The following is a 25,742-nucleotide window of genomic DNA, read 5'->3' on the forward strand; positions in this document are numbered from 1 at the left end:
AGACTTTCCAGTGCATTTTGCATCTCTCTGAGTGTGTCCTTGATTTCCAAAAGTTGTTTTATTTATGCTGTTTATTTCACTCGAGATTTTTTCCTTCATATGCTGTGTCATTGTTTTGATTTCTTTAAGTTGGACTTCACCTTTCACTGGTGTGTCCTTGATTGGTTTAATAATCGACCTTCTGAATTCTTTTTCTGGCAATTCAGAGATTTTGTCCTGGTTTGGATCCATTGCTGGTAAGCTAGTGTGATTTTTTTTTTTTTTTTTTTTTGAGATGGAGTCTTACTCTGTTGCCCAGGCTGGAGTTGCAATGGCACAATCTCAGCCCACTGCAACCTCCGCCTCCCAGGTTTGAGTGATTCTCCTGCCTCAGCCTCCTGAGTAGCTGGGATTCCAGACACGCATCACCACACCAGCTTATTTTTGTATTTTTAGTGGAGACAGGGTTTCCCCATGTTGGCCAGGCTGGTCTTGAACTGCTGACCTCAGGTTATCTGCCTGCCTTGGCCTCCCAAGTTGCTGGGATTACAGGCATGAGCCACTGCCCCCAGCCTAGTGTGATCTTTTTGGGTATTTTAAAGAACCTTGTTTTGTCATATTACCATAATTGTTTTTCTGGTTTCTTCTCATTTGGGTAGAGCATGTCAGAGGGAAGATCTGGGAATCAGTGGCTGCTGTCCTGATTCTTTTGTCCCATGAAATGCTTCCTTGATGTAGTGCTCTCCTCCTTCCCCTAGGGATGGGGCTTCCTGAGAGCTGAACTGCAGTGATTATTATTTATCTTCTGAAGCTAGCCATCCAGCACAGCTACTGGGTGCTGAGCGGGTACTGGGAAGTGTCTGCAAAGAGTCCTGTGATGTGATGTGATCTGTCTTCAGGTCTCTCAGCTGTGGATACCAGCACCTGCTCTGGTGGAAGTAACAGGGGAGTGAAGCGGCCTCTGTGAGAGTCCTTGGTTGTATTTTGGTTAAGTTCGCTGGTTTTCTGTTGGTTGGCCCCCAGCCAGGAGATGGTGCTTACAAGAGAGCATCAGCTGCAGTAGCATAGAGAGGATTAGGCGGCAGGCAGGGCCATAGAGCTCCTAAGAAATTATCTTCTTTGTCTTTGGCTACTGGGGCGAGTAGAGAAAGACCATCAGGTTGGGCAGGGTTAGGTGCTGAGTCAGACTCTCCTTGTGCATGGCTTGTTGTGGCTGCTATGGGGGATGGGGGTGTGGTTCCCAGGCCAGTGGAGTTATGTTCCCAGGGGGATTATGGCTGCCTCTGCTGCATCACACAGGTTGCCAGGGAAGTGAGGGAAAGCGTGCAGTTGCAGGCCTCACTCAGTTTCCATGCAGCCCACGGCCCAAAAGGCCAGTCTTAGTCCTATCAGGAACCCCTTCCGCCACCCCCACACCCCCACTGGCCCAACAGCATTGGGTTTATTTCCAGGCAGCTGGTGAGCAGGGTTGAGAACTTGCCCCAGGTGACAAGTCTCCCAGCTGAGAACGCAAGCTGATCTCCAGTTCCTCGGCTCTCCCATGCAGCATGCAGCAGCATTCCACCTCCTTCAAAGGGTCTGTAGATTCTCTCAGTTTTCCTGGTATGTTCCTGCGGTAGTTCTTGGAACAAAAGTCCACTATGTGTCTGCACATGCTGCTGTTTGTCTGAGTGGGAGCTGCAAGTTAGACCTTCCTCCTATCCACCATTTTTTTTTCTCTCTGTCACTGATGATACATTCTAAGTTTAATGTTTGTATTTTCAAAGTCTTTAGATCTTTGGAACAGTCTTATAGCATCTCGAATTTGGAAATTGTGATTGTTGTGTAGTTATTGTGAATTTTTGCAAATGATAATGAGTGTCAATATCACCTCATAGTGCCTTTTTTTTAAGTGCTTTTCTTTTTCCATGCTCAATAGAAAATTGCTTTACTGTGGGCAGTATTAGCAAAATGTTAAAAGTAATTTTCATGGAGAAAGACGATATACACATTATTTAGGGGTTATTGATATTAGGAGCCATTTTATTTAAAAAATATATATTTTATTAATATTGTTAAGATCTCAGAGATCACTTCTAAAACTCAGCTCCATTACTCTTAAACAAAAAGATAGGAGAAAAAATTATTTAGGATCCTGGTCCAATAAAGCTTTTCCTTTTTATGCTTATTTCATGTATCCTGAATATAACAAGCACTGGGTTTTACTTTGCCATCTTTAAAAGAGTTTGGTTTAAACAGAAATCTCAATAGCCCTCTGTCTTATTGCATAACGGGCTCTGCATGCAATTTCATACTTTGCTGTATTTAGGTAAATGGGACCCTCAGGACCAGTCATTACCCGAAGTACATTAATCTGCTCAGGCAGCCGTTATAAGATAACATAGACTGGGTAGCTTAAACAACAGACATTTACTTTCCCACAGTTCTGGAGGCTGGAAGTTCAAGATCAAGGTGCCAGTAGATTTGGTGTCTAGTGAGGTCTCTCTTACTGGCTTGCAGATGGCCACCTTCTTGCTGTGTCCTCACATGAGAGAGCTCTGTGGTGACTCTTCCACCTATTATAAGGACACCAGTCCTTTCAGACTAGAGCCCCACACTTATGACCTCATTTAACCTTATTTGTGTCCTGGAAAGCTCTATCTCTAAGTACAGTCACACTGTGGGGTTAGGGCTTCAACATAAGAATTTTGATTGGACATAATTCAGTATATAACATATAGATAGAGGGGTATACGGGCATTTTGAAGTGTTTTGGCCTTTTGTGCTTTATTCTTGCCGGGAACTAAGTGTTCTGGTAGTAAAACAACATATTTTTCCCCAAGAAAATAATGAATCATATTTTATATTTCACAGTATTTAAATGTTAAATGTATAAAGTTGGATGCGTTAACATGCCTACAACTAATCGATCCTGATTTTTCAAGCCAGAAAAGGCTGCATCTTTTTAGTTAAAAAGCTGCTCGAGTGTGTGTGTGAGTGTGTTTGTGAGTGTGTATGTGAGTGTGCATGTGTGTATACGTGAGTGTGCATGTGTGTGTGTATGAGAGAGAGGATTTGGTAGCTGGTGGTGTGAGCAGATTGCTTTGCCCTTGTTATGATGCATATATCTCTAGGAGGAATTATTACCTGTATCCCACTACGAAAATTGGTTTTGTGGAGCAATAGGCTGTGAATTCAGTTGTTTGAGGTCTTTCTGTTTAAATGAAATTTGATTTTCTTTTTTAGAAAAATGGCTTTAGGCAGTCCTGGAAAATTTGGAAACCTATTTTATTTTGTGTATTGTCCTCTAGTTGTTTTGACAGGGCAATGGAAGAATGGAGACAGTTCCATTGTGACCTTAATGACCTCACACAGTGGATAACAGAGGCTGAAGAATTACTGGTTGATACCTGTGCTCCAGGTGGCAGCCTGGACTTAGAGAAAGCCAGGATACATCAGCAGGTGAGTGCTTTCTGTTAGAGGAGGGGGACTGCACATATGGTTAGTGTATGCCTGTTAAGACAGATTTCAGAAGTAGGGACAAAATATATTAATTTTTCAGAAGTCAATGGACAATTTGTAATTTTTGTTCCAATTCTTGTTACCAGTTATAAAAGTTTAAGAAATTGGTCAATCACAATTTTCAATCAGGATTTCAAAGAAATTTAAATAAAAATACTCCTTGGTGGCTAATGTGAAAAACAATTTTATTTAAACAATTTTATATTTAGAATAAAATTTGTAAACTGTTATGCCTAAGACTATACCAAGAACAGAAAAAATATTTGCATGCCTCACCTCTGTTTTTTGTACTTAAACACTTAGGCATCTCATTTTTCTTTGTATCATTGATAATTATCATAAAGTAAATTATTCTGGAGCGACAGCAGGGCAGCTGCTCATGTAAGTCTAATTCAGTCTTGGGAAAATATAACACAAAGTTAGTTCTGATAACAATAGGTCTTTAAAAATAATGGTAGAAAGCACACGCAATTTCAATTCTACCATTGATAAAAATATTTTCTCTTTTATTAAGTTTTTTAAATGTATTTTATTTAGAAGGACATGACAATTTAAAGATAATTCATTTGTTTTTCTTATAAATGTGTTAATGTGGCCGGGCGCGGTGCCTCACACTTGTAATCCCAGCATTTTGGGAGGCTGAGGTGGGCGGATTATGAGGTCAGGAGATCGAGACCATCCTGGCTAACATGGTGAAAACCCATCTCTACTAAAAATACAAAAAATTAGCCGGGCATGGTGGAACGCACCTGCAGTCCCAGCTACTCAGGAGGCTGAGGCAGGAGAATTGCTTGAACCTGGGAGGCAGAGGTTGCAGTGAGCCAAGATCGTGCCACTGCACTCCAGCCTGGGTGACAGAGCAATACTGTGTCAATAAATAAATAAATAAATAAATAAATGTGTTAATGCATTTTTCTTATTTTTGGAGTTACAGATAAGTGTTTAAATTTGACTTGAAAATATTCATTCAATCTGTTACTTAAACATTTGTAGACCAGTGTATTAGTCTGTTCTCATGCTGCTAATAAAGACATACCTGAGACTGGGTAATTTATAAAGGAAAGAGGTTTAATTGACTCATAGTTCAGCATGGCTGAGGAGGCCACAGGAAACGTCCAGTCATGGTGGAAGGGGAAAGAAACATGTCCTTCTTCATATGGCGGCAGGAGAGAGAAGTGCTGAGCAAAGTGGGGGAAAAGTCCCTTATAAAACCATCAGATCACTCTCACTAGAACAACACGAGGGTAACCACCCCTGTGATTCAGTTACCTCCCACTGGGTCCCTCCCTTGGCATGTGGGGATTATGGGAGGTACAATTCAAGATGAGATTTGGGTGGGGACACAACCAAACCATATCAACCAGTGAAGCAATATCTTAGTAAAATGTGCATTTAGGTTTACTTGTATGTGGTAGGACACAAGGATATAAGGATTTATTGGGGTATATAATTTTTTAAAGCAATGCCTTCAAGCACTTGCTTGAAAGAAGATGAGCAATTCATTTTCATCAAACATGATTGATGCTTATGCTTTAATGTAAACAGCTGTTATTCATTTTAGTTATTAAGCTGCCCTATTTCCTTGTATTTTGCCTGATGACATTCATGAAGGTGGGTTAGATTTCAAAATAAATTTCATTTAGCATGTTCATTGAAATGTAATTAAATTGTTTTAAAATGCCTTTTTTTTCTAACATAAAATATCTTTCCAGGAGTTTGTTTCTTTCACACTTAAATTGATACCACAATACTTGGGTGGATTCATTGCATCAGAATCATTTACTTATTAGTGAAACTAATCTTGAGTTGTGCTCTGTTACAGGAACTTGAGGTGGGCATCAGCAGCCACCAGCCCAGTTTTGCAGCACTAAACCGAACTGGGGATGGGATTGTGCAGAAACTCTCCCAGGCAGATGGAAGCTTCTTGAAAGAAAAACTGGCAGGTTTAAACCAACGCTGGGATGCAATTGTTGCAGAAGTGAAGGATAGGCAGCCAAGGTGATTTAGCTATGATTGTTTGCAGGCACAGGAGTGAACATATTTTGGATAGAATCTTTTAAGATGCAATCTAATGAGTTCTTTTATTGTTTGACATTATAATAGGAATTTTACTGACATTTAAGACCTCCACTGCCCACGTTCTCCCTTCCTGTATTTTTAGGCTGTCCATAAAGTCTCACTTTTCTACTCAAATGCTACATATGTAAAAACCAAACACCTTTATTCCTTTTATTTACAACTGCTTATTATGATATGGTGATTATGATGGGAATTTAAAGTAGTTGAAATAACTGAAACTCCAGGTTTCAGGTTTGAAGGTCTGGGTTCAAGATCAGACCTTCCCTTTGCTTATTTCCTGATTGAGCCTACCTTAGTAATACGTCTCACTAAGTTATTTTGGTGTCAAATGTTGTGTTCTATTCATGCTTTGCCAATAATAAAGTTCTTCATCTATGTAATATAATATAATATAATATAGTATTATTAATTTTTATGTCAGATTATGTTACAGTGACTCAGATTTTATTTGGGCATCTTCCAGTTGCAAATTTGTTTTGCAATTGGAATATAATGCCCAACACTATAGACACTTTCCATATTTAAAATTATTTGACATTATTTTCTGAGACAGTCAAGATTTATGAATGATTTCTACTTTGTTTCATATATTCCGTCATTAATGATCTTTTTTGTTTGTTTGTTTCTTGTTGGTAGTTTAGGGTTAAAAACTCCACGATTTTTTTTTCTGTTAATTTTAACTCTGTTGATGAAGTATTATTTTAGTGATAAGCTATCATTTTGTGAAAGGCCAATCTAATACTTTATCAGGTCCAGTATTATTATGCAACCTAAAATATTCAAGTATCATGTGACCTACAGTTGCTTTTCATTTAAAAAATCTATTATTTTGTGTGTTTTGGTAAGAGACAAATAATAATTAGTACGTTTTGGTTGAGAGATTACCACATGGCAGAGAGAGTATCTGGCACCTTGCACACATTGCCTTGTTTAGGAGTCATGACTCACCTCTTAGGGGACTGTTAAGCCTTGTACAGCTTTAGAAACTGAGGCTAAGAGAGGCGAGGTTAAGTAACTTGTCCAAGATCTCATAGAAAGTAAGTGATCATACTGTCTTATGCTCTCAATATTATGCTGTACGAACTTGGAAAGAGCACAGAACTCTCTGGCCAAAGTGTCTTCCTCTGGAAATGAGAACTATGATATCACCACAGAGGACTGTCATGAGGATTAAATGCAATAGTGTTTGGAAAATGTGCATGCCTTGACTATTCATAGTAAACACTTAAAGTATCTATTTCTTATGAAAGCAAGTTATCTTAGAACTTATTCTCTAAGCATATTGCTGAATTTTGCCAATGATTGATTAATGACTTGATCGATATTTATTGAGCTCTATGTTTAGCACTGAAGATACAAGTATGATTAGGAACTCAAAGACTAAGAAGAAGAAAATGATGAAAGAAAACATCATTAAAAAGATAAAGTGTCACAGAGGCAGATATGATGCGCTGTGGAATTTAAGTGTCACAGAGGAAGCATGCCGAAGCTGAGTTTTAAAGCATTTATAGCAATTTTCTATAAATTTCTTCTAGGGAGGGCCTTCTAGGCAGAAGAAGTAAAACAGCAGAGGTGGGAGGCATAAATAGCATCGTCGTGTGAGAGATCTGCAAAGGATTGAAAGGAGAGGAGGGTTCAATGACCAGGGGAAGGATTGGAAAATGAGGTCCCATAAGATCTTATATGTCATGCTATTCAGTTTGCATGGAGGGTCTTAGCTTGAAATGATTTATCTCCTAGACCTTTATTGGTTTTTTGAGACAGAGTCTCGCTCTGTCACCCAGGCTAGAGTGCAGTGGCGTGATCTCAGCTCACTGCAACCTCTGCCTCCCCGGCTCAAGCAATTCTCGTGCCTCAGCCTCCTCAGTAGCTGAGATGACAGGTGCCTGTCACCATGCCTGGCTAATTTTCATATTTTTAGTAGAGATGGCATTTCACCATGTTGGCCAGGCTGGTCTGGAATTCCTGGCCTCAAGTTGATCTGCTGGCCTTGGCCTCTCAAAGTTCTGGAATTACAGGCATGAGCCACTGAGCCTATCCTCTCTTATACCTTTTTAAGGAAAAACATGTACCTGCTGGGAGGGTTTTAACAATAAATGCAGAAATTCTTCTAAAGGTAGATATCTGTGGAGTGTGGTAATTACAGCTCCTAAAACTAATAAGGTGAAGCTAATACGTGTTTTTACTCATTTTTTGGAAGTGAAAAGAATAATGAATCTCTTCCCCAACAGCTTATATTTTGACTAAAACAATATTTGTCTTTGTAAATTAACGCTAAACTTCACCTTAGGTTGGTAGTCTATATTAAATTGGGACCATTTTGGGTAGATTGTATATATGTTGTTAACAAAGTAATTGAGAATTATCACACAGTTCAATTTGTTTTTGTATTGAGTGCCTGTAGTTAAGTATTTGCATAGTTCAGCAACCTGCAGAGTTATTTCTTCCCTTTTTTGGAGACAAGGTCTTGTTCTGATACCCAGGCTGGAGTGCAATGGTGCAATCGTAGCTCACTGCATCCTTGAGCCCCTGGGCTCAAGCAATCCTCTCACCCTAGTCTTCTGAGTAGTTGGGGCTGCAAGTGTGTGCTACCACACCCAGCTGATTTTTAAATTGTTTGTAAAAATAAGGTCTTGCCATGTTGTCCAGGCTGGTCTCGAACTCCTAGGCTCAAGTGATCCTCCTGCCTCAGTCTCTCAAAGTGCTGGGATTACAGCCGTGAGCCACCATGCCCAGTGGGTTATTCCTTAGTGAGCAATTGTTTCTTCTGTTAGAACATGAATTTATAATTTGTTTTTACTCTTGGGGATAATATTTAAAATGTAGATTATATTTAGCTAATTTGCAGATGAAAATATTGGGTGACTCAAATATATCTTATTGAAATCACTTTATAATGCTAGTTTTCTTCATAGTTCTGTTTTGAAAGTACTAAATTAGTCATGATCTTGAAACATTGGACGTGAAATTTCAACTCTTTTTTAGAAACAAAGGCCTATAATAGTATTTTGGGTGTTTCCAAAGTTGTCATTTAAGTTAAATACTTTTCACTATGGAGGGTAGATTACTTGTTTTAGTCTTAGTAATTAGTGCTGTTGCTGTATTTATTTATTTTTAATCTTAAAGGAGCATTCTTTCTTGATGGATACTTAAAAATTATGATTTTGTAGTGATTTTCATTTTTTTAAACATTATACATCAAATATTGACTGTTTATTAAATATAGAAGTATTATCTAATATTTTATTACATGTATTGCACGATTATGTGAGAACTTTTGTGATTAAAAATGAAAACTCCTAGCTGCAAAAACATAAATTCTTATTAGGAATGATACAATACAATTTATTTAAAAATTGCATTCAGTTTTTAAACCAGCAGTTAATTATAGCAGCTATAAAAATAAAGATACCACCAGGCTTTTAATAGCTTTCAAATCCTTTTAAAAAACACATAATCTTATTTGTCATATGAGTTCTAATCATATTCCTCTCTTCTGACAGATGGTTTATATTCTTATAAATGTTATTCTTATAACACTATAAAGATCTAATTGAGGCAGTTCCTTTTTTATATTCATTTGACTGTTTTCCTTGCATCATTTAAAATTTTTGCTTTGTTTTTTTCTATATCTCTTTTTGTAACAGTGCTCTATTCAAATATAATAGTTATTTTAATAAACAAGCCAAATTCACATGTTTCTTGTCTTCCCTAATACTTGTAAGATTCTCCCATTCTTGATACCTTGCTTTGTTCTTATTCTTTCTGTTCTATGAATAAAGCAGAGTAATAGTTACCACCTAATGTGATAACATGTCATATAATGATTCCTTTCAATATTCGTGAAACACTCAAAGAGAATTATGCTTTTTCCCTATTATTTTAGATAAAGACATTTTTCATGTTTTAAAAAATTTCCATTATGTTGCGGAGTGGTATCTAACTGTAAAAAAGGCTTTTGTATTCAATTTCTACATAACTTTTTATGATGAGGGAAGATAATATTCTTTAGTTTCAATGTTTTTGAATTTAACTAAGGAAAAAAGCTTCTTGGTCTATTATTAAGCAATCTTTATATTGTAGAATATATACATTGTTTCACTTAAAATATATATTAAAATAATTATTAGAAATTATTTATTTTGGGAAATATTTAGTCAGGATATTCAAAGCAAATATGTAAGGTTCTGCTTAATTGGACAGTTTTTCCTCAATATTTTTAAATAATATATTCTTTTAGGCTAAAAGGAGAAAGTAAGCAGGTGATGAAGTACAGGCATCAGCTAGATGAGATTATCTGTTGGTTAACAAAGGCTGAGCATGCTATGCAAAAGAGATCAACCACCGAATTGGGAGAAAACCTGCAAGAATTAAGAGTAAGTTGTTTATTTCTGTCTATATGCCTTTTGGTGCCCGAACATTATACTTCAGAGTCACATACTGCGTGTCTCAAGAAGAAAAGGGAAAAGAAACTTTGTACTTTTTGGTAAATGTGGTGAACCTGAAAGAGGAATATCTTTTATTTTTTAAAGAGCAGTTATAATTTTGGTCTTGCAGAGCTTAAACTTCACTTATGTAAAAAGAACAAACTATTATGGTGTCAGTATTAGACCAAAGGTTTTTAGGATATTGTAAACTGACCTTATCATTTTAAAATACAATAGGGCTATGAAATATCGTTTTTTGTTTTTAGATTTGGAAGAAAATTACTGATTATTGTCTATAAAGCTGCAAAACTCAACTTTATAGATAATCAGTAATTATCAGAGTGACTTGCTGAGGAACAAAATGCAGCTTGCAATAGGTTTAGTGTCATGGTTGTATTAATCAGATTTTCTTTGTTGGTTTGCAACTAACAAGTATTGTTTATAGTTGTATATGTATATAATCTATAAAAATTCATACATATATAGATGTATAAATATATCCAAATATCCATAAATTTTGTATTCATAAATATTTATTTTTTGTGTTAAGAATTAAAATACTTGTTGCAGAACACTCAGCATAATGTGCTCACATTTTTTTTTAAAAAAAGAAATTGTGGGCTGGGTGTGGTGGCTCACGCCTGTAATCCCAGCACTTTGGGAGGCCGAGGCGGGTGGATCACAAGGTCATGAGATCGAGACCATCTGGCTAACATGGTGAAACCCCATCTCTATAAAAATACAAAAAAAAATTAGCTGGCCGTGGTGGCAGGCGCATGTAGTCTCAGCTACTCGGGAGGCTGAAGCAGGAGAATGGCATGAACCCAGGAGGCAGAGGTTGCAGTGAGCCGAGATCGTGCCACTGCACTCCAGCCTGGCTGACAGAGCGAGACTCCGTCTCAAAAAAAAAAAAAAAAAAGAAATTATGAGTGTGTATTCATACATGTACAAGCATAAGTGTGTGTGAAAGGTTACTTACTAATTCAGAGATTTTGTCTATAAAGGAGTATGATTGAAGCATTTTGAGAAAGAAACATTGAATAATGATGAAAAATATTTTGTGGAACATATATTAAGTTTTCTTTTTAAAATGTGACAATATCTAACAAGCTTCCTTTTTTACCTAAAAATTTCAGTGGTTTTTTTGGGAATGTCTCTTTTGTAAACAATTTGAGGAGAGTTAGAAAAGGTGGAACAGTATATTAGGATGGAGTAGCAAGGAGGAGATAAGAACAGAATGTTAAATTAGCAGTGTAAAAATAATATATGACCCGGTTAAGAGACAGTGAGTACCAGAGAGCCCGTTTGTGCACAGGAGTGCAAAAATACACACAGAAGGCATGTGCTCACTCCCTTCCTAGTTATCATTTGTTAGCATGAGCTTAAGCTTCTTATAAGTTTATTTTTTCACTTAACAAATTAGAAAGTTACATTTGTAATAATACCAAAAAGGTTTCTAATACAGTTCTTGAATTTTCCCTTATCTGACTACCTTCTAACCACACCTATCTTTTAACTTCTCCAGGACTTAACTCAAGAAATGGAAGTACATGCTGAAAAACTCAAATGGCTGAATAGAACTGAATTGGAGATGCTTTCAGATAAAAGTCTGAGTTTACCTGAAAGGGATAAAATTTCAGAAAGCTTAAGGACTGTAAATATGACATGGAATAAGGTGTGTGTAAAGTTACTATCACACATTTCTCATATTTATTGATTTTGTTGTCAGAGATGTGGGATCATGTAACTGCTTTACTTTCAAGTATGTCCAAATGGGGCAAATTTTACTAAAGCTTACTAATGTTTATATTTTTTATCTGTCATAGACAGAGGCATATATTCTAGAAGAATACTTTTTATTTTATACAGAACTCTTTGGCCTAGGGGATTTATACATTATATACTACATTAAATAATGAATATATGTTGGAATTAGTAAGAAAATTCCAGTGATGATATTCTGAAAATGAAGACCTTAAAATAGCATTCTGAGCCGGGTGTGTTGGCTCATACCTGTAATCCCAACACTTTGAGAGGCCGAGATGGGGGGAATCACATGAGTCCAGGAGTTTGAGACCAGCCTGGCCAACACAGTGAAACCCCATCTCTACTAAAGATAGAAAAATTTGCCAGGCGTAGTGGCACACGCCTGTAATCGCAGCTACTTGGGAGGCCGAGGCACGAGAATTGCCTATACCTGGGAGGTGGAGGTTGCAGTGAGCTGCAGTCACACCACTGGACCCCAGCCTGGGTGAGACAGGGAGACCCTGTCTCAAAAAAAAAAAAAAGAAATAAATAAAGAAAATAGCATCCTGATTTTGCACATGACTTTTCACACATGTATGTTTATTTTCAATGATTTTTTTCATTAAATATATATTTACTAGGTTCCAGTGAAATGTAATGGCATGTGACTACAAATACAACTAATATCTTTCCCTCCTACCATTATTTTTTTTTTGCCATTGAAACGGTTAAAAGTAGATAAAGTCATAGATATCTTTTTTGTTTGACCTGGTACACACCATTTCAGAGTATGACGTCTGTATAGGACATTGAATGGATATGTCTCTGTCCTTGGTTTGGATGGACTCCATATCAGTCATTTTCTCTCTCATCCTCTTTAAATGGTAGCCATTATCCTATAGCTAATGATGCAGGTGCTTTATTGATCTGGTCTCTCTGATTGGGAATCACTGCCTGTTGAGTCACTGTGATTCACACATGTGTATCTCTGGTCTGGACCTTTCTCCATACTCTAAACTTGTGTATGCAACTACCTGCTCAACATCTCTCCTTAAATGTCTAATAGGCACCTCAAACTAACATACACAATCGAGCTTTTGATATCCCTCTCCCTTCTGTGCCTTAATATACATCTCCCACCTTAGTCAATGGAAGTTTCATCTTATTATTACTTAAGTCAGAAATATTGGAGTCAATCCTATGGTATATGAATTCTATCACAAAAAGAAACAAAGAAAACCCCCAAACCAAAAACTATACCTCAGTCACCATTAGCAGCTTTTCCTTCAAAATACGTATCTACTGGATGGATGGTTTATTGGATAGCCAGATGGCTATGTGTGATAAGGCAAATGTAGCAGAAGTTTGACAGTTGTAGATGTCAGAGGGCACATAGATATTTCCTCTACAATTCTTTCGACTTTTCTTAGGTCAAAAAATATCATACATTTGACTGCTTCTTACAACCCCCATTGCCACTAACTTGTTTCAAGCCTGCCATCATCTCTTGTCTTGATGACTACAAAGGCTGCCCCACTCATCTCCCCTGCTTCTTCCTTTGCCCTTTGTTATTCTGTTCTAGACAAAGCAGCCAATATGATTGGTTAAAACATAATTCAGATCAAGTGACTTATCTGAGCAAAGTCCACCAATGGTTTTCTATCTTGCTCAGGGTGAAAGCCAAAATGCTTTTTTGGCTTATGAGGCTTCTCATGGCCTGGCGTCCTGTGATCTCTCCTACAATATCCACTGCTCTCTCTCCCCTACACTCCTTTCCAGACATGTTAGGTCCTGTGTCACTTGCCAGAAAGGTTGTCCATATTCAGTCGGAGCACACATATTTATTTAACACAAAGGGTATCAGTGGGTATTCTGCAGAAAAGGGCACAGTTGTTAATTTGGGTGCACTATGTCAGACAAAGCTAGAGCTTTGGTTATTGCAGAATTTCATGTAAATTTTAATATAATTCACTTTGGTGAATTATGAATGTCTAAGACCAACAATGCTCATTGTGCAGAAAATCTCAACAAACATAATTTGGGAAATTCTAACATGGTTTATTTCATTCATTCATACAGTCATTCATTCACTCAATAGGTTTTTATTGGAGTCTCACTTTCTGCCAGGTATCATTTTAAGAGATAGGAATGCATTAAAGAGTGTGGCATTCCTTCTAACTCAAAGAGCTTATCATGGATGAGACCAGCAGACAACCAATTATAACATCCAGGTAGTGATGGGTACATAAAGGTGGAGCACCTGCTTGGCTTTGAGGGGTAGCTGTGGAAGGTTTTGTTGAAAAGATCACATTCTGGTTAATTTACGAAGGATGAATAAGTATTGGTCGGGTGAAGAATGAGGGAAAGTGCAGTGTAGAGAGAAGTGGCAAATGAAAGTGTCTAGAAGAGACAGAGAATGAGCACAGTGTATATAGGTCCAGGAAGTAGCCCACTGTAGAATGGAAGGCTGAGGGATGTTCTCAGAGATGAGATCCTGGAGGACTCACTGTGCATCACAAGGAATTTGAGCTCCATGTTGCAAACAATCTACCACTTTGAGGGTAGTGGGCAGCTATTGATGGGTTTTAAGCAGAGGAAAGTCATGTTTTTGAAATATTGCTATAGCTTCACTACGGAGATAGATGAAGTGATCCTAAGAATTGATATAGAAAGATGAGTTAGAATCTTCAGAAGAGTTTATGAAACGGGTGTCAGGGAAGATAGGGATAAGGAATTCAGATGTGGACATATCTGAATATCTAGTTCACAGAGAGGGCTGGACTGAAGATATGTTTTGGGCAGTCTTTAGCCTCTCAAAACTCCATTTGATTCCTGAAATCTTTGGAAACCAGGACTCAGGGAGAGCCCAGGGTGAAGGGCAAGAAGAGCAACACAGCTGCCCTGAAGGATATTGGTATTTGATGGATGGGCAGAGGAAAAGGAGTTGGTGAAGGAAATTCAGGAGAGCCAGCCAGAGAGGTAGGAGGAAAGCCAGAATTGCAGAGTAATAACAGAATTCAAGGGAGGGGGAGTGGACGGCATTAACTGGTGCACAGGGGTCAGGACAGCTAAGGACTGGTTGGTGTTTTTGATAGCAATGTCAGTGGAGTTAGGGGCTCAAACAAGATTGCAATGGAGAGTGAAGGTAGAGCCAGAAGTTTAGGTCGTTAGGGGAAGAAAAGTAGCAGAGCTGCCATTCAGAATAACACCTCTTCTTTTGAACTACAGTCATCTTTATTTACGTAGTATTCTTCTCTTTCTGTTTGTCCTGATGCGGTAGATTTGCAGAGAGGTGCCTACCACCCTGAAGGAATGCATCCAGGAGCCCAGTTCTGTTTCACAGACAAGGATTGCTGGTAAGATATGTTTATCTTTAACAAAGTTTTTTAAAAAATCAGTATGTAAAATTTTGTGATATGAGCCTCATACATGAATTAGAAAGACTTAGAAACGTCGTGCCATTTTCTTTATTTAATCTACTTTCAATGATTTGGAAAGAACATCTTCTTTAAACCCAAGACACATTTGGCTGCCCAGTGTGGGTAAGGCATTTGTTCTCGCGGCAGATAAGGCTGGCCTTTCTCTGGACTCCAGTGCTACCTGGGCATCCACAGGTCCTGCCGAAGGGAAGATGAGAGGCTAGGTGCAAAAACTGGGGACTAGTTTTCTGGGTCCAGGCAGCTTTTCAGGAAATCAGCTATAACTTGTTGTGTTAACATGAGCTTGGTTAACATATGTAATTAGACCCTGATCATGACTGAGAACAAAAGGCTTAGATATCCTGGGAAGCAGGTGGGGGATGGATATTTAGAAGCATTCTCCAACCTAGGAGACAAATACTTCTCACTTGGATGTGGAGAAAGAAGAATGTTTTCTCACTATTTCCTTCTCTCTTTATCCAGATTAGATCGCAGGCTCCTGCCCCATAGCCACTGTTGCCACTGCCTTGCAAGTTTTCTGAACCATCATGCCCTGCTCTTCCTCTGTTGAGTCACCTGGCAAAACCGCAAATGTGACCAACTCTAACTGTCCACTCACTCCCTGACAGCTGCTTCTGCTGATTCTTTTTATTGCTCCTCCCCGCTTTTTTCTTCTCCCTTGTCCTTCTCCTCCTCCTTGACTTCCATGTCCACCTTCTACTTTCTACCTCTTCTCTCGTCCTCCACCTCTACCTCTTCTACCTCTTTTTTTTGGGAGGGTTCTTTTTATTTCTCTTATTCCTCTTATTTTTCTTTTCTTTTCCTTCTCTTCCTCCTCCTCCCCTCAAGTTTTGAAAAAAGTGATGACAGACAATATATTTTTTTTCATTTTTCGAGATTGCAAGCTAATTGAGGACCAAGTTTGTGTTTTTTATTACTTGTATTTCTGGAAATTTGCACAAAAAGTACCTGGGGCCTGATCAAGTTTCTTGATTAATATTCAGAACACTTGAGTTGACATTTGGGTACTGCTGCTTTGCAAATACAGGCTCAACTCCATAATCATAGGGAAAGAATTTGATGCATTTTATAAAATCGTCATGGGTTATCTTACTTTTTAAAACCTCTATATGGTAAAGGAGCAGGGAAAATTTGAATACATATTTAGAAGTATAAAAAGCTAACAGCAAAGCTACAACTTCCATTAGGTGGATGGCTCATTTTTAACAGGATATTCGTCCTTGGGATAGGCCTGAGACCTGAAGCTAATCTTAGTATGTCTCTCTCCTCCTACGCAGTGTTTTAATTCAGTTCCTTCTTTTTAACATTTTATTTAGAAAATAAAATTAACCATTTTAAAGTGAACAATTTGGTGACATTTAATGCATTCACAATGTTGTACAACCACTATTTCTATCTAGTTCCAAAATATTTCTATCACTCCAAACTAAAACCTCTTACTCATTAAGCAGTTTCTTCCCATTCCCTCCTACTCCCAGCCCCTGGCAACCACCGATCTGCATTCTGTTTCCATGGATTTCTCTATTCTGGATATTTCATATAAATGGAGTCATACGATGCTTCTTTTACTTAGCATAATGTTTTTGAGGTTCATCCTTGCCAACACCTTGCCGACTGTACTCATTTCAGAGCTATGACTATTCATTTCAAATAAGCACTCAGCGCTAAGAGACAGTCCTACCGTACTTTCTTCTGAGTACTCCTTGGTACTCATTTCTCAACTAGTGACCTCATCTCATTTTCAAAAGAAAAAAAAAACCTTTTTCGTTTTCCCACCAGAGAATCCATCAAGCTACCTGCGGCTGTACCCATATACTTTACACACTTCCTTCCTATTCAGTGAAAGGGTTATTATCTCTTTTCCTAAGACCAGCTCCTCCACTTATGCATAGGATCCCATATTCTCTGGGCTGCTTACGTATCCTCTTTCTCTGATAGCTACTAGATCATCCTTATTGCCATACCTTTTGAAGCATGTAGCTCTAGTCTACTCATTTAAACTGATGTACAGTATTACATAACATTGGATATACTACAATCCTCTAAATTCTCTTTTCTACCTATGCTTACCAGTCCCAGAACTGTAGACATTTTTTTTTAGATGATTCACCCAGTCCTTAGGCCAATAAACTTGTAGTCAACCTCAACTCTTCTCTGGAATTAATATTCAATCCATCAGCAAGTAGCATCATTTCCATGTTCCATTCCACCTACTTCCGTGGTCTTGAACACCCTTATCTTTCTATCTAGATTATTGGAATATGCTCCTAACTCATAATCCTGATTTTATTCTTGCCTCAGTACTTCTCCATGACCTATTCCTCTGATAGCAGATAGAGTGATTCTTTTAAACGAGTTTGATTGTGTCGTTTCTTTGTTCACAGTCTTTTAATCACTTCCATCCACATAAATGAGTTCCAAAGTCTGGCCTTAGTCCAGAACACCATGCATATCTGCCTGTCTCTTTAATCACATTTCTTACTACTTTTCCCTTTGTTCATTCTGTTTCAAATACACTGGTCTTCTTGCTGTTTCAAACATGCCAAGAACGTAATCATTTCTGGTCTTTGTGCTTGGTGTTCCTTCTTCTTGTCTTCCCCAAATGTTCTTCTCTTAGATATTTTCATGTTTCACATACTCACTTCCTTTAGTTCTCCTTCAGATATCCCTTTCTAGAATAGCCCTTTCTTGCCCACAATATCTCAGATACACCCTGTCTCTGTCTTCTTGTATTGATTTTACTTCATAACACACATCCATTTTCCTGATAGAATGCAAGCTCTGGCAGGGCACGGTGGCTCATGCCTGTAATCCCAGTGCTTTGGGAGGCCAAGGCGGGTGGATCACCTGAGGTCAGGAGTTCGAGACCAGCCTGGCCAACATGGTGAAACTCTGTTTCTACTAAAAATACAAAAATTAGCTGGGCGTGGTGGCGGGCGCCTGTAATCCCAGCTACTTGGGAAGCTGAGGCAGGAGAATCGCCTGAACCCAGGAGGTGGAGGTTGCAGTGACCCAAGACCGTACCATTGCACTCCAGCCCAAACTTTGTCTTGCACACTCTCATGCCTGCAGCGTCTAGAATAGCCCCTTACACATAATAGGTTCTTAATAGGTATTTGATGAATTAAAACAATGAATTTTTTTTATCTACAAAAAAAGTTAAAGTGAAGATGGGGCAGAAGGATGTGTGAGATATTCTGTAGGGTGTATATCTAGTGATGGAATCACTGGGTTTAGCATATGGGTGCCTTCTACTTCACTAGCTGCCATTAGGGTGCTGTCTGGATTACTTGGCCCAGTTTACACTGACACTGGCTGTGTGTAATGGGTTCTTATTGTTCTACAGCATTACCAGCACCTCAACACTTTGCTCTCAGGACCCCTTTACACTTGTAAAAATTATTGAGGACCCTCAAATAGCTTTTGCTTTTGTGAGTGATAGTTATCCGTATTTACCTAACTAGAAAAATTTTCCATTAATTCATTTATTAAGTTGTTTAAAAATAATAATAAAGCCATTATATGTTAACAAAAATAGCATGTTTTTGTAACATTAGCATAAGATGCTGGGCACAGTGAATCATGTCTATAATCCCAGCAGTTTGGGAGGCTGAGGCAGGAGGATCACTTGAGCCCAGGAGTTTGAGACCAGCCTGGGTAACATAGGGAGACCCTGTCTCTACAAAAAATTAAAAATAAAAAAAATTAGCCAGGCTTGGTGATGCAGGCCTGTAGTTCCAACTAATCAGGAGGCAGTGGTGGGAGGATCACTTGAACTCAGGAGGTTGAGGCTGCAATGAGCTGTGTTCGTGCCTCTGCTTCCCAGCCTGGGTGACAGAGTGAGCCCCTATCTCAAAGAAAAAACAAACAAACAAACAAACAAACAAACAACTCTGTTTTCTAAAACAAACAAAATCCTGGAAAAGCTGCAGTTTTATATTTTTTGAAATCTCTTAAATGTCTAGTTTAATAGAACACAGCTGTATTCTTATTTCTGCTTCTGCATTTGGTCTCTTGTGATGTCACGTTATGTAGACTTAGATAAAACACACTGTACACGTGGGAGAGACTGAGCCTAAAAAGGCAAATAATGTGCTGATGATAATAGTGTAGGCATCTTAACCTAGAGCTTCTCAGATGTCACTTTTCTGATGGTGGTCCTGTGGATGTAGGGTATTTCATTTTAATTTGTACTATCTCAGTTATAGAAGAGGTCAGACATTTATTTCACATTTTTATGTTTATTGCCTTTTTTATTTCCTCTTTTGTGGATTGTCTTTAGATGATTTTTTAAGTTTTAGAAAAAGTATTTTGGCTATCAGTTCTTTGTCTGCAATGGGCATTGCAAATACCATCTCCTTTCATCTTTCAAAGGCTTTTAAAATCTTTACTTATGGTGCTCTTTGGAATTCTTAACCATTAATGGTTTATTAATAGCTTCCCTTTTTTGTGTTTTGTTTGAGAGCTACTTCAGTCCTCTGAAGTAATAAAAGTATTCCTTATTTTTAACTAACAATTTTGTTTTTCATATTTAGGTCCTTAATCCACTAAGAATTAATTTTTCTATGGTGTATGTGAGGTTAAAATCAGTCCCATCATTTCCCTGCTGCAGCCGTGGTGACTCACTTAATTGAACAGTAAATTCTTCTTCATTGATCTGTAATTCAGTCTCTGCCAAGGTCAGATTTCTCTGCCACCTACACATTGTGACTCTTCTCTTCTGTTGGTCTCTTTAAATGTCTCAGTCTATAATATACTGAGTTAATAATTATTAGCTAAATAATATAACTTAATATCTGGGAGGGCATATTCCTCTATCAAAAAATAATTTGACTGTTTTTTGTCCTTTTCTCTTCAATATTAATTTTATAACCAGAAATTTGAATTAATGATTTTGTTACATTCAAGCCTGTTGGGATTTTTATTAGGATTGTGCTGAATTTACAGATTGGCTATACATTTTAGAAAATTATTTAAGCCTCATCTAATATATCATACCTGAAGTAGGTTACAGATAGTTTTAATTACTAATTCAACTACTTATTGTATCAAAACCAATCAATTTGGCAATGAATATTAAATACATACTTTTTTTTGTATTTTCTGACTCAGTAATTCTACTTGGGAAATCTATGCTAAGATAGAGATCAGAAATGTGCAAAATACTCTACATGAAAAGATATTCTTTGCAAGTTTTTTAAAAAATTAAAATAAAATTTCAGGAGCAATCTAAATATCCAAGGGTTAAATAAAAGTGAATATGGGTATAGGTTATTACATAGGTATTCATAATTGTGTTTACTAAGAATAAAATATGCTCACATTATAAAGTTAAATGAAAAAAATAAAAAATTATGAATAAGTTGGCTTTATAATTAAAATCATCTTGCCAAAATAAAATAATACTTCCAGTTCTCCCACATTTGTACTTTTAATTTTTCTCAGTGTCAGTGCTGATTATGTTATAGAATGTTGCAAAACTGTTTTGTTGGCTTGATAGCTACCAAAGACATATGGATATTACAGGTAATACCATAGCCATTTCAGTATGAAAAAATAACCTCTTAGAATTTTTTTTACTTAAACTAAATTTTATTTAAATACACATACACGTGTCACCATGACACCACCATAATTAAAACATCCTGTTGATTAATTTCTCTTTTGCTACATTTTTCATTTCAGCTCATCCTAATGTCCAAAAGGTGGTGCTAGTATCATCTGCGTCAGATATTCCTGTTCAGTCTCATCGTACTTCGGAAATTTCAATTCCTGCTGATCTTGATAAAACTATAACAGAACTAGCCGACTGGCTGGTATTAATCGACCAGATGCTGAAGTCCAACATTGTCACTGTTGGGGATGTAGAAGAGATCAATAAGACCGTTTCCCGAATGAAAGTAGGTGCATAGTGTAAAAGCTTGTCATGGAAACGCCACAACCCAGAGGTAGACCAGATCTGTTTGAATCCCTTTTGTTTATCCTAAACTATGAGAGAATGAGGTTTAAAAAATTCTGTATCTGTCAAACAACCATTCAGGGCTAACTACAAAGCATAGAGCTTTTCTTGCATTTATACTGTTGTGATATGATCAGGTTTACTGACTTAAACTAAAGACCCAGTGCATTTTTAAAATCTAAAACTGATACCGTAAAGCTAGGCACATTAGTATAAATATAAGCTGGCGTTAGCATTTCATGCCTGTTGTGTGATGTAGGATAATCTCCTAAAGTGCCTTTGCAACTTATATTTCATAATGAGATTAATTTCTGATTTTAAAAGTGAATATCTCCTATAACTTTACTACTATACATGTACCATCTAATATTCATTTGTAAAAATTCTTTTTCCCTATTTAGTGTGTGCTAAGTTCTGGGCTGTGAGTGGTACAAGGATACTGACAAGAATATTCTAGGTAGAAATTGGGAAACTACAATGAAATAATAATAACAGCTCTTGCTAAATTTTATTAAGTGCTTCATGTGTGCTGGTCATTTTTCTAAGTATTGTACACGTTATCTCATTCAATTCTTTAATAGTCTTGTGAGATAGGTACTGTTTTTATCCCCACATTACAAATAAGTCCACACCGAGGCAGAGGCACTGAGTGCATATGAGTTGACAAATTACTGTAGCAAGGCAAGAGTCTAATAAAAGCCTCAGGAGAAGTACAGGCAACCTGTTGGGGGAGCCAGGATGAGGAAGGGGATCACTTCTCCAGTGATGGAAAGCAAACTGTGTGGGATTTTGGCATCTGGGACAAAGTGGTGACATTCCTGGTATAGGGAACAGAGTGAATAAAGTCATGTGGTACAGGAGGCACAAAGGACAGTAGGGCCAACATTTGTGCAATTAAGAAATACAGTGTGAAACAAGGCAGGAAAAGCAGCTCAAATTCCCTTTGTGAAGGAGCCTGCAGGCTGTGCAAAGCCCTTTGGATTTTTAGTCTGTAAGCAATTGGTAAACATCTTCCTTCCCATTTCTTTTTCTTTTTAAAATTGTGTTTATGAACTCATGATAACCGTGCTCTGCTTTAGTAGAAGACTAGGATGGATTGGAGGCAAGAAATGCATAAATCAAGGCAAAGAGCCCTTTCTGAAATGACTAAGATGATGCTGTTGCAATTAGCAGAAATAAGGAATAGAAGAAATTGAGTGTGAATGAGGGTTTGAGTGATTTAGTTTCAGACGTGTTGTGGTGGGGAGTCCTTATGCCATTTAGAAGGAAGTGATCAGTATTCATTACCATGTGCCCTGGGATTTAGGATTGAAAGTTGTGAGCAATCCATTTAGAAGTAATATTTGACACCAAAGGAGTAGCTGGAATCTACAAAACGGGTGAATTTGTAAAGAGGAAGGACTGGGAAAAAGTCATTTGCCACTATTTGTATTTTTTGTAAATTGCTTTCTAGTCTCTATGACTGTCATTAGTTCTGTACTGAAAACACATGATTTTCCTGATGTTGTTACCATTTCTCCCATATTTATTAGCACTGAGAGACAAACCATCTACAGCAGCAGTTTTTCGTGTCTAAGAGGATTTAATTTATAGTTATTCCTCTTAGCACTTTTCTGTGTCACCCCCAACCCTATGACATTAGTTTGTGTTCGTACCTGACACAGAACAGATATGCAAGTCATCATCAGCAGCAATAACTGCTAATGTTTTCAGGGCATTTTTCAGCTTTTGAAGGGATTTTCTTTGTTTAATGTCCTCAGACTGGATGTAATTGAGCTGTCAGTATTTTATTATTTCTTTTTTGTGAAAACAAAAACACAGAGAGGTAAAGCTCCTTGCCTGGTGACTCAGGTGCTAAATGGAAGAACTGAGATTTGAATGCAGGATCCTTGACTTTAAATCATGCACTCATTTTCTGCCACGTTGCTGATGCTTCACTATGCCATAGAGGAGGAAAACAACGACAACTTTGATGTCAGCACAACTGTTTTGCTTATTATTCTTCTCATATGGCTTATTAACCTATCCGAATAATCATTTCTACTTAACAGATTACAAAGGCTGACTTAGAACAGCGCCATCCTCAGCTGGATTATGTTTTTACATTGGCACAGAATTTGAAAAATAAAGCTTCCAGTTCAGATATGAGAACAGCAATTACAGAAAAATGTAAGTTTTTTAAAAAAAGTTATGTATTATCATCCACTTTCCCTGCAAATGGTGACACACACACACACACACACACACACACACACAAACACATTTTCAAAGATTATTCAACTAGAAAGTAATAGTGTTTAATATTTGTTACTCTTTATTTATACAGAAATGTAGCTTTCCCTTGTTTTTATGTTTTGTGAACATTGTTACAATAACCTTATGAAGTCCTTAATTATTAACATCACGACTCTTAAGTAATTACTTACACATTGGGTTTTCTTCTCTTAACTTAGGCTTTCTTTTAGAGGAATAAAAAAAGGTTAAAGGAACTCACAAGAATGCAAATCCTTTCTCTCATTATACTTTATTCTCTAAAATCAGGTCTTACTGTGTCTTTTAACTCAACCCAAAATTCAGTCCACAAATATTTATTGAGCAACTACTATGTGCTTATGTGACTGGCATTAATTTGGGGATACTTTAGTTATAAATGAGAGAAAACAACAACAAAAAATAAACATACAAAACAATAGCAAACAAAGATCCTTGCTTGGGGTTTGCATTCTAGCTCAGAAGCATCTAGGTTCTACAAACCCTTCTTAGTGGGAATGTACTACCAATAGCAAACGAAGTCTAAATTCTCAAGAGTGACACCTAGGGATTGTCACAATCTGCTGCCACTACCCCTTTTCTCACTTCAGCCCTCAGCCCGGCCTGTAATTATGCTGTTATTCCTTAAAATATCCTGACATTTCCTAGTCTTCTTACCTTTATTTGCATTATTTTATTTCTCTTGGCCTTTTCTTCCCAGGTGCAATTCTACGCAGCAGCTAAAATGTCATCCCCTTTGTGACATCTTTCCCTCCTCTTCTGGTCCCTGGTGAATGTTAATTTCTATTTTTAGTTCCTTCTATGGCCTTTCCCCCCATTGCTTTATTATAGATCTTACAACTACTTTAATTGTCTCTCTCTTCCATAGATTGTGAATATCCGTCTTTCTGCCCTTGGGCCTTTAACAGTGCCAATACAAATTAACTACCTAATAAATATTTGTGACAAAATATAAACTGGAAGGATAAATCCTAATATTTGTCAAGGGAAGAAAGTCAGCTACTCTCCCTGTAAAAAGTATGTTTTGATTTCAAAATAGTCATGGTAGCAACAGGGTTATTATAGGAGATACATTAGAAAAGAACTTTTAATGTCTAACAGTGTTGGCTTATTTTTACTAAATACATCATTTTCCTTCTTTTCTCTTTTTATGAATGGATGGATTGTGCCTATTATGGAACTTTGGAGTGAGCTGGTTTCCCTCACATCACAGGGGAGCTCCTCTGCTCTAGTGATACCAAACTATTGACAAGCCATTTCCAGTTTGCTTTTTCTATCATCTTGATGTTTTCTTTTAATTATTATTTTTTCCATCACCTCTCTTTTTGTCCAAAACTTCTTTCAGGTGTTTGTTTTTTTGTTTTACAAGACTTCTCCTAAATATCTTCCCTTTCCCATTGAATGTACACACTCTATTTTCTCTCTATATATAAATATTTCTGTGTGTGTAGAGGTTCTATAACCTTCATCACTCCTCATTATATGAAAAACCCTTCCCAGGGGGAATGTATTGCTACCAATAGTAACCTCGTTTTAGGGCTTAACTCACAATGAATGGGATAATTTGCCTATTTCTTATGATAAACCTGTGATATTTACTCTCGCTTGATGTCTTTGGTTTCATTTGTTTACTGTTAAAGGATTCTATTAGTAATAGAATTGGTCATAAGTACTTTATGTAACTTTTTAACTGACAAGAGAACATTATGATAGATTTGGCCTCTCTTCCTTAAGTTTAAAACTTAAGCAATTTATTTAAACAGCTAAGACAGAATGAAACAGATTGTCTCATTGAGCAAGTTTTAAAGAATGATGACATGTAAGTATAACTTAAGGCCTGAACAGCCTTGTTGATAGCTTTTTTGTTTTTTGAGATGGAGTTTCACTCTTGTTGCCCAGGCTGGATGCAATGGTGCAATCTTGACTCACTGCAACCTCTGCCTCCTGGGATCCAGCGATTCTCCTGCCTCAGCCTCCCAAGTAGCTGGGATTACAGGCACCTGCCACCATGCCCAGCTAATTTTTATATTTTTAGTAGAGACAGGGTTTCACCATGTTGGCCAGGCTGGTCTTGAACTTCTGGCTTCAGGTGATCCACCTGCCTCGGCCTCCCAAAGTGCTGGGATTACAGGTGTCAGCCACTGCACCCAGCCAGTTGATAGCTTTTATGTTTCACTATAACCATATATTATCCCAAGAACTTTGCCAAAGTGTTCCATGATAACTCAGCTGGAATGTTATCTTGTAGTTACGTTCCTCTTGGGCCTGGTACTTAACTATAGCCTTTCTTTTTGTCTGATATCCAAAGCATCTTTCAGCAGCGTGGTTTTAACATTCTAC

The 25,742-nt window shown here is 37.5% G+C and overlaps 1 protein-coding gene across 1 annotated transcript in view; it reads left to right on the top strand.

The window, feature by feature from the left end:
- UTRN (utrophin) overlaps nucleotides 1-25,742 on the top strand; it is a 567,700-nt gene that overhangs the window by 242,448 nt on the left and 299,510 nt on the right. Inside the window, exons 42-48 of the mRNA NM_007124.3 lie at nucleotides 3,270-3,420; nucleotides 5,303-5,478; nucleotides 9,800-9,935; nucleotides 11,512-11,661; nucleotides 15,013-15,088; nucleotides 20,858-21,072; nucleotides 23,183-23,300. Of these exons, the coding sequence (NP_009055.2) occupies nucleotides 3,270-3,420; nucleotides 5,303-5,478; nucleotides 9,800-9,935; nucleotides 11,512-11,661; nucleotides 15,013-15,088; nucleotides 20,858-21,072; nucleotides 23,183-23,300 (1,022 nt within the window). The remainder of the gene's footprint in view (nucleotides 1-3,269; nucleotides 3,421-5,302; nucleotides 5,479-9,799; nucleotides 9,936-11,511; nucleotides 11,662-15,012; nucleotides 15,089-20,857; nucleotides 21,073-23,182; nucleotides 23,301-25,742) is intronic.

This window comes from Homo sapiens, chromosome 6 (assembly GCF_000001405.40).
Source record: "Homo sapiens chromosome 6, GRCh38.p14 Primary Assembly".
Taxonomy (NCBI): domain Eukaryota; kingdom Metazoa; phylum Chordata; class Mammalia; order Primates; family Hominidae; genus Homo; species Homo sapiens.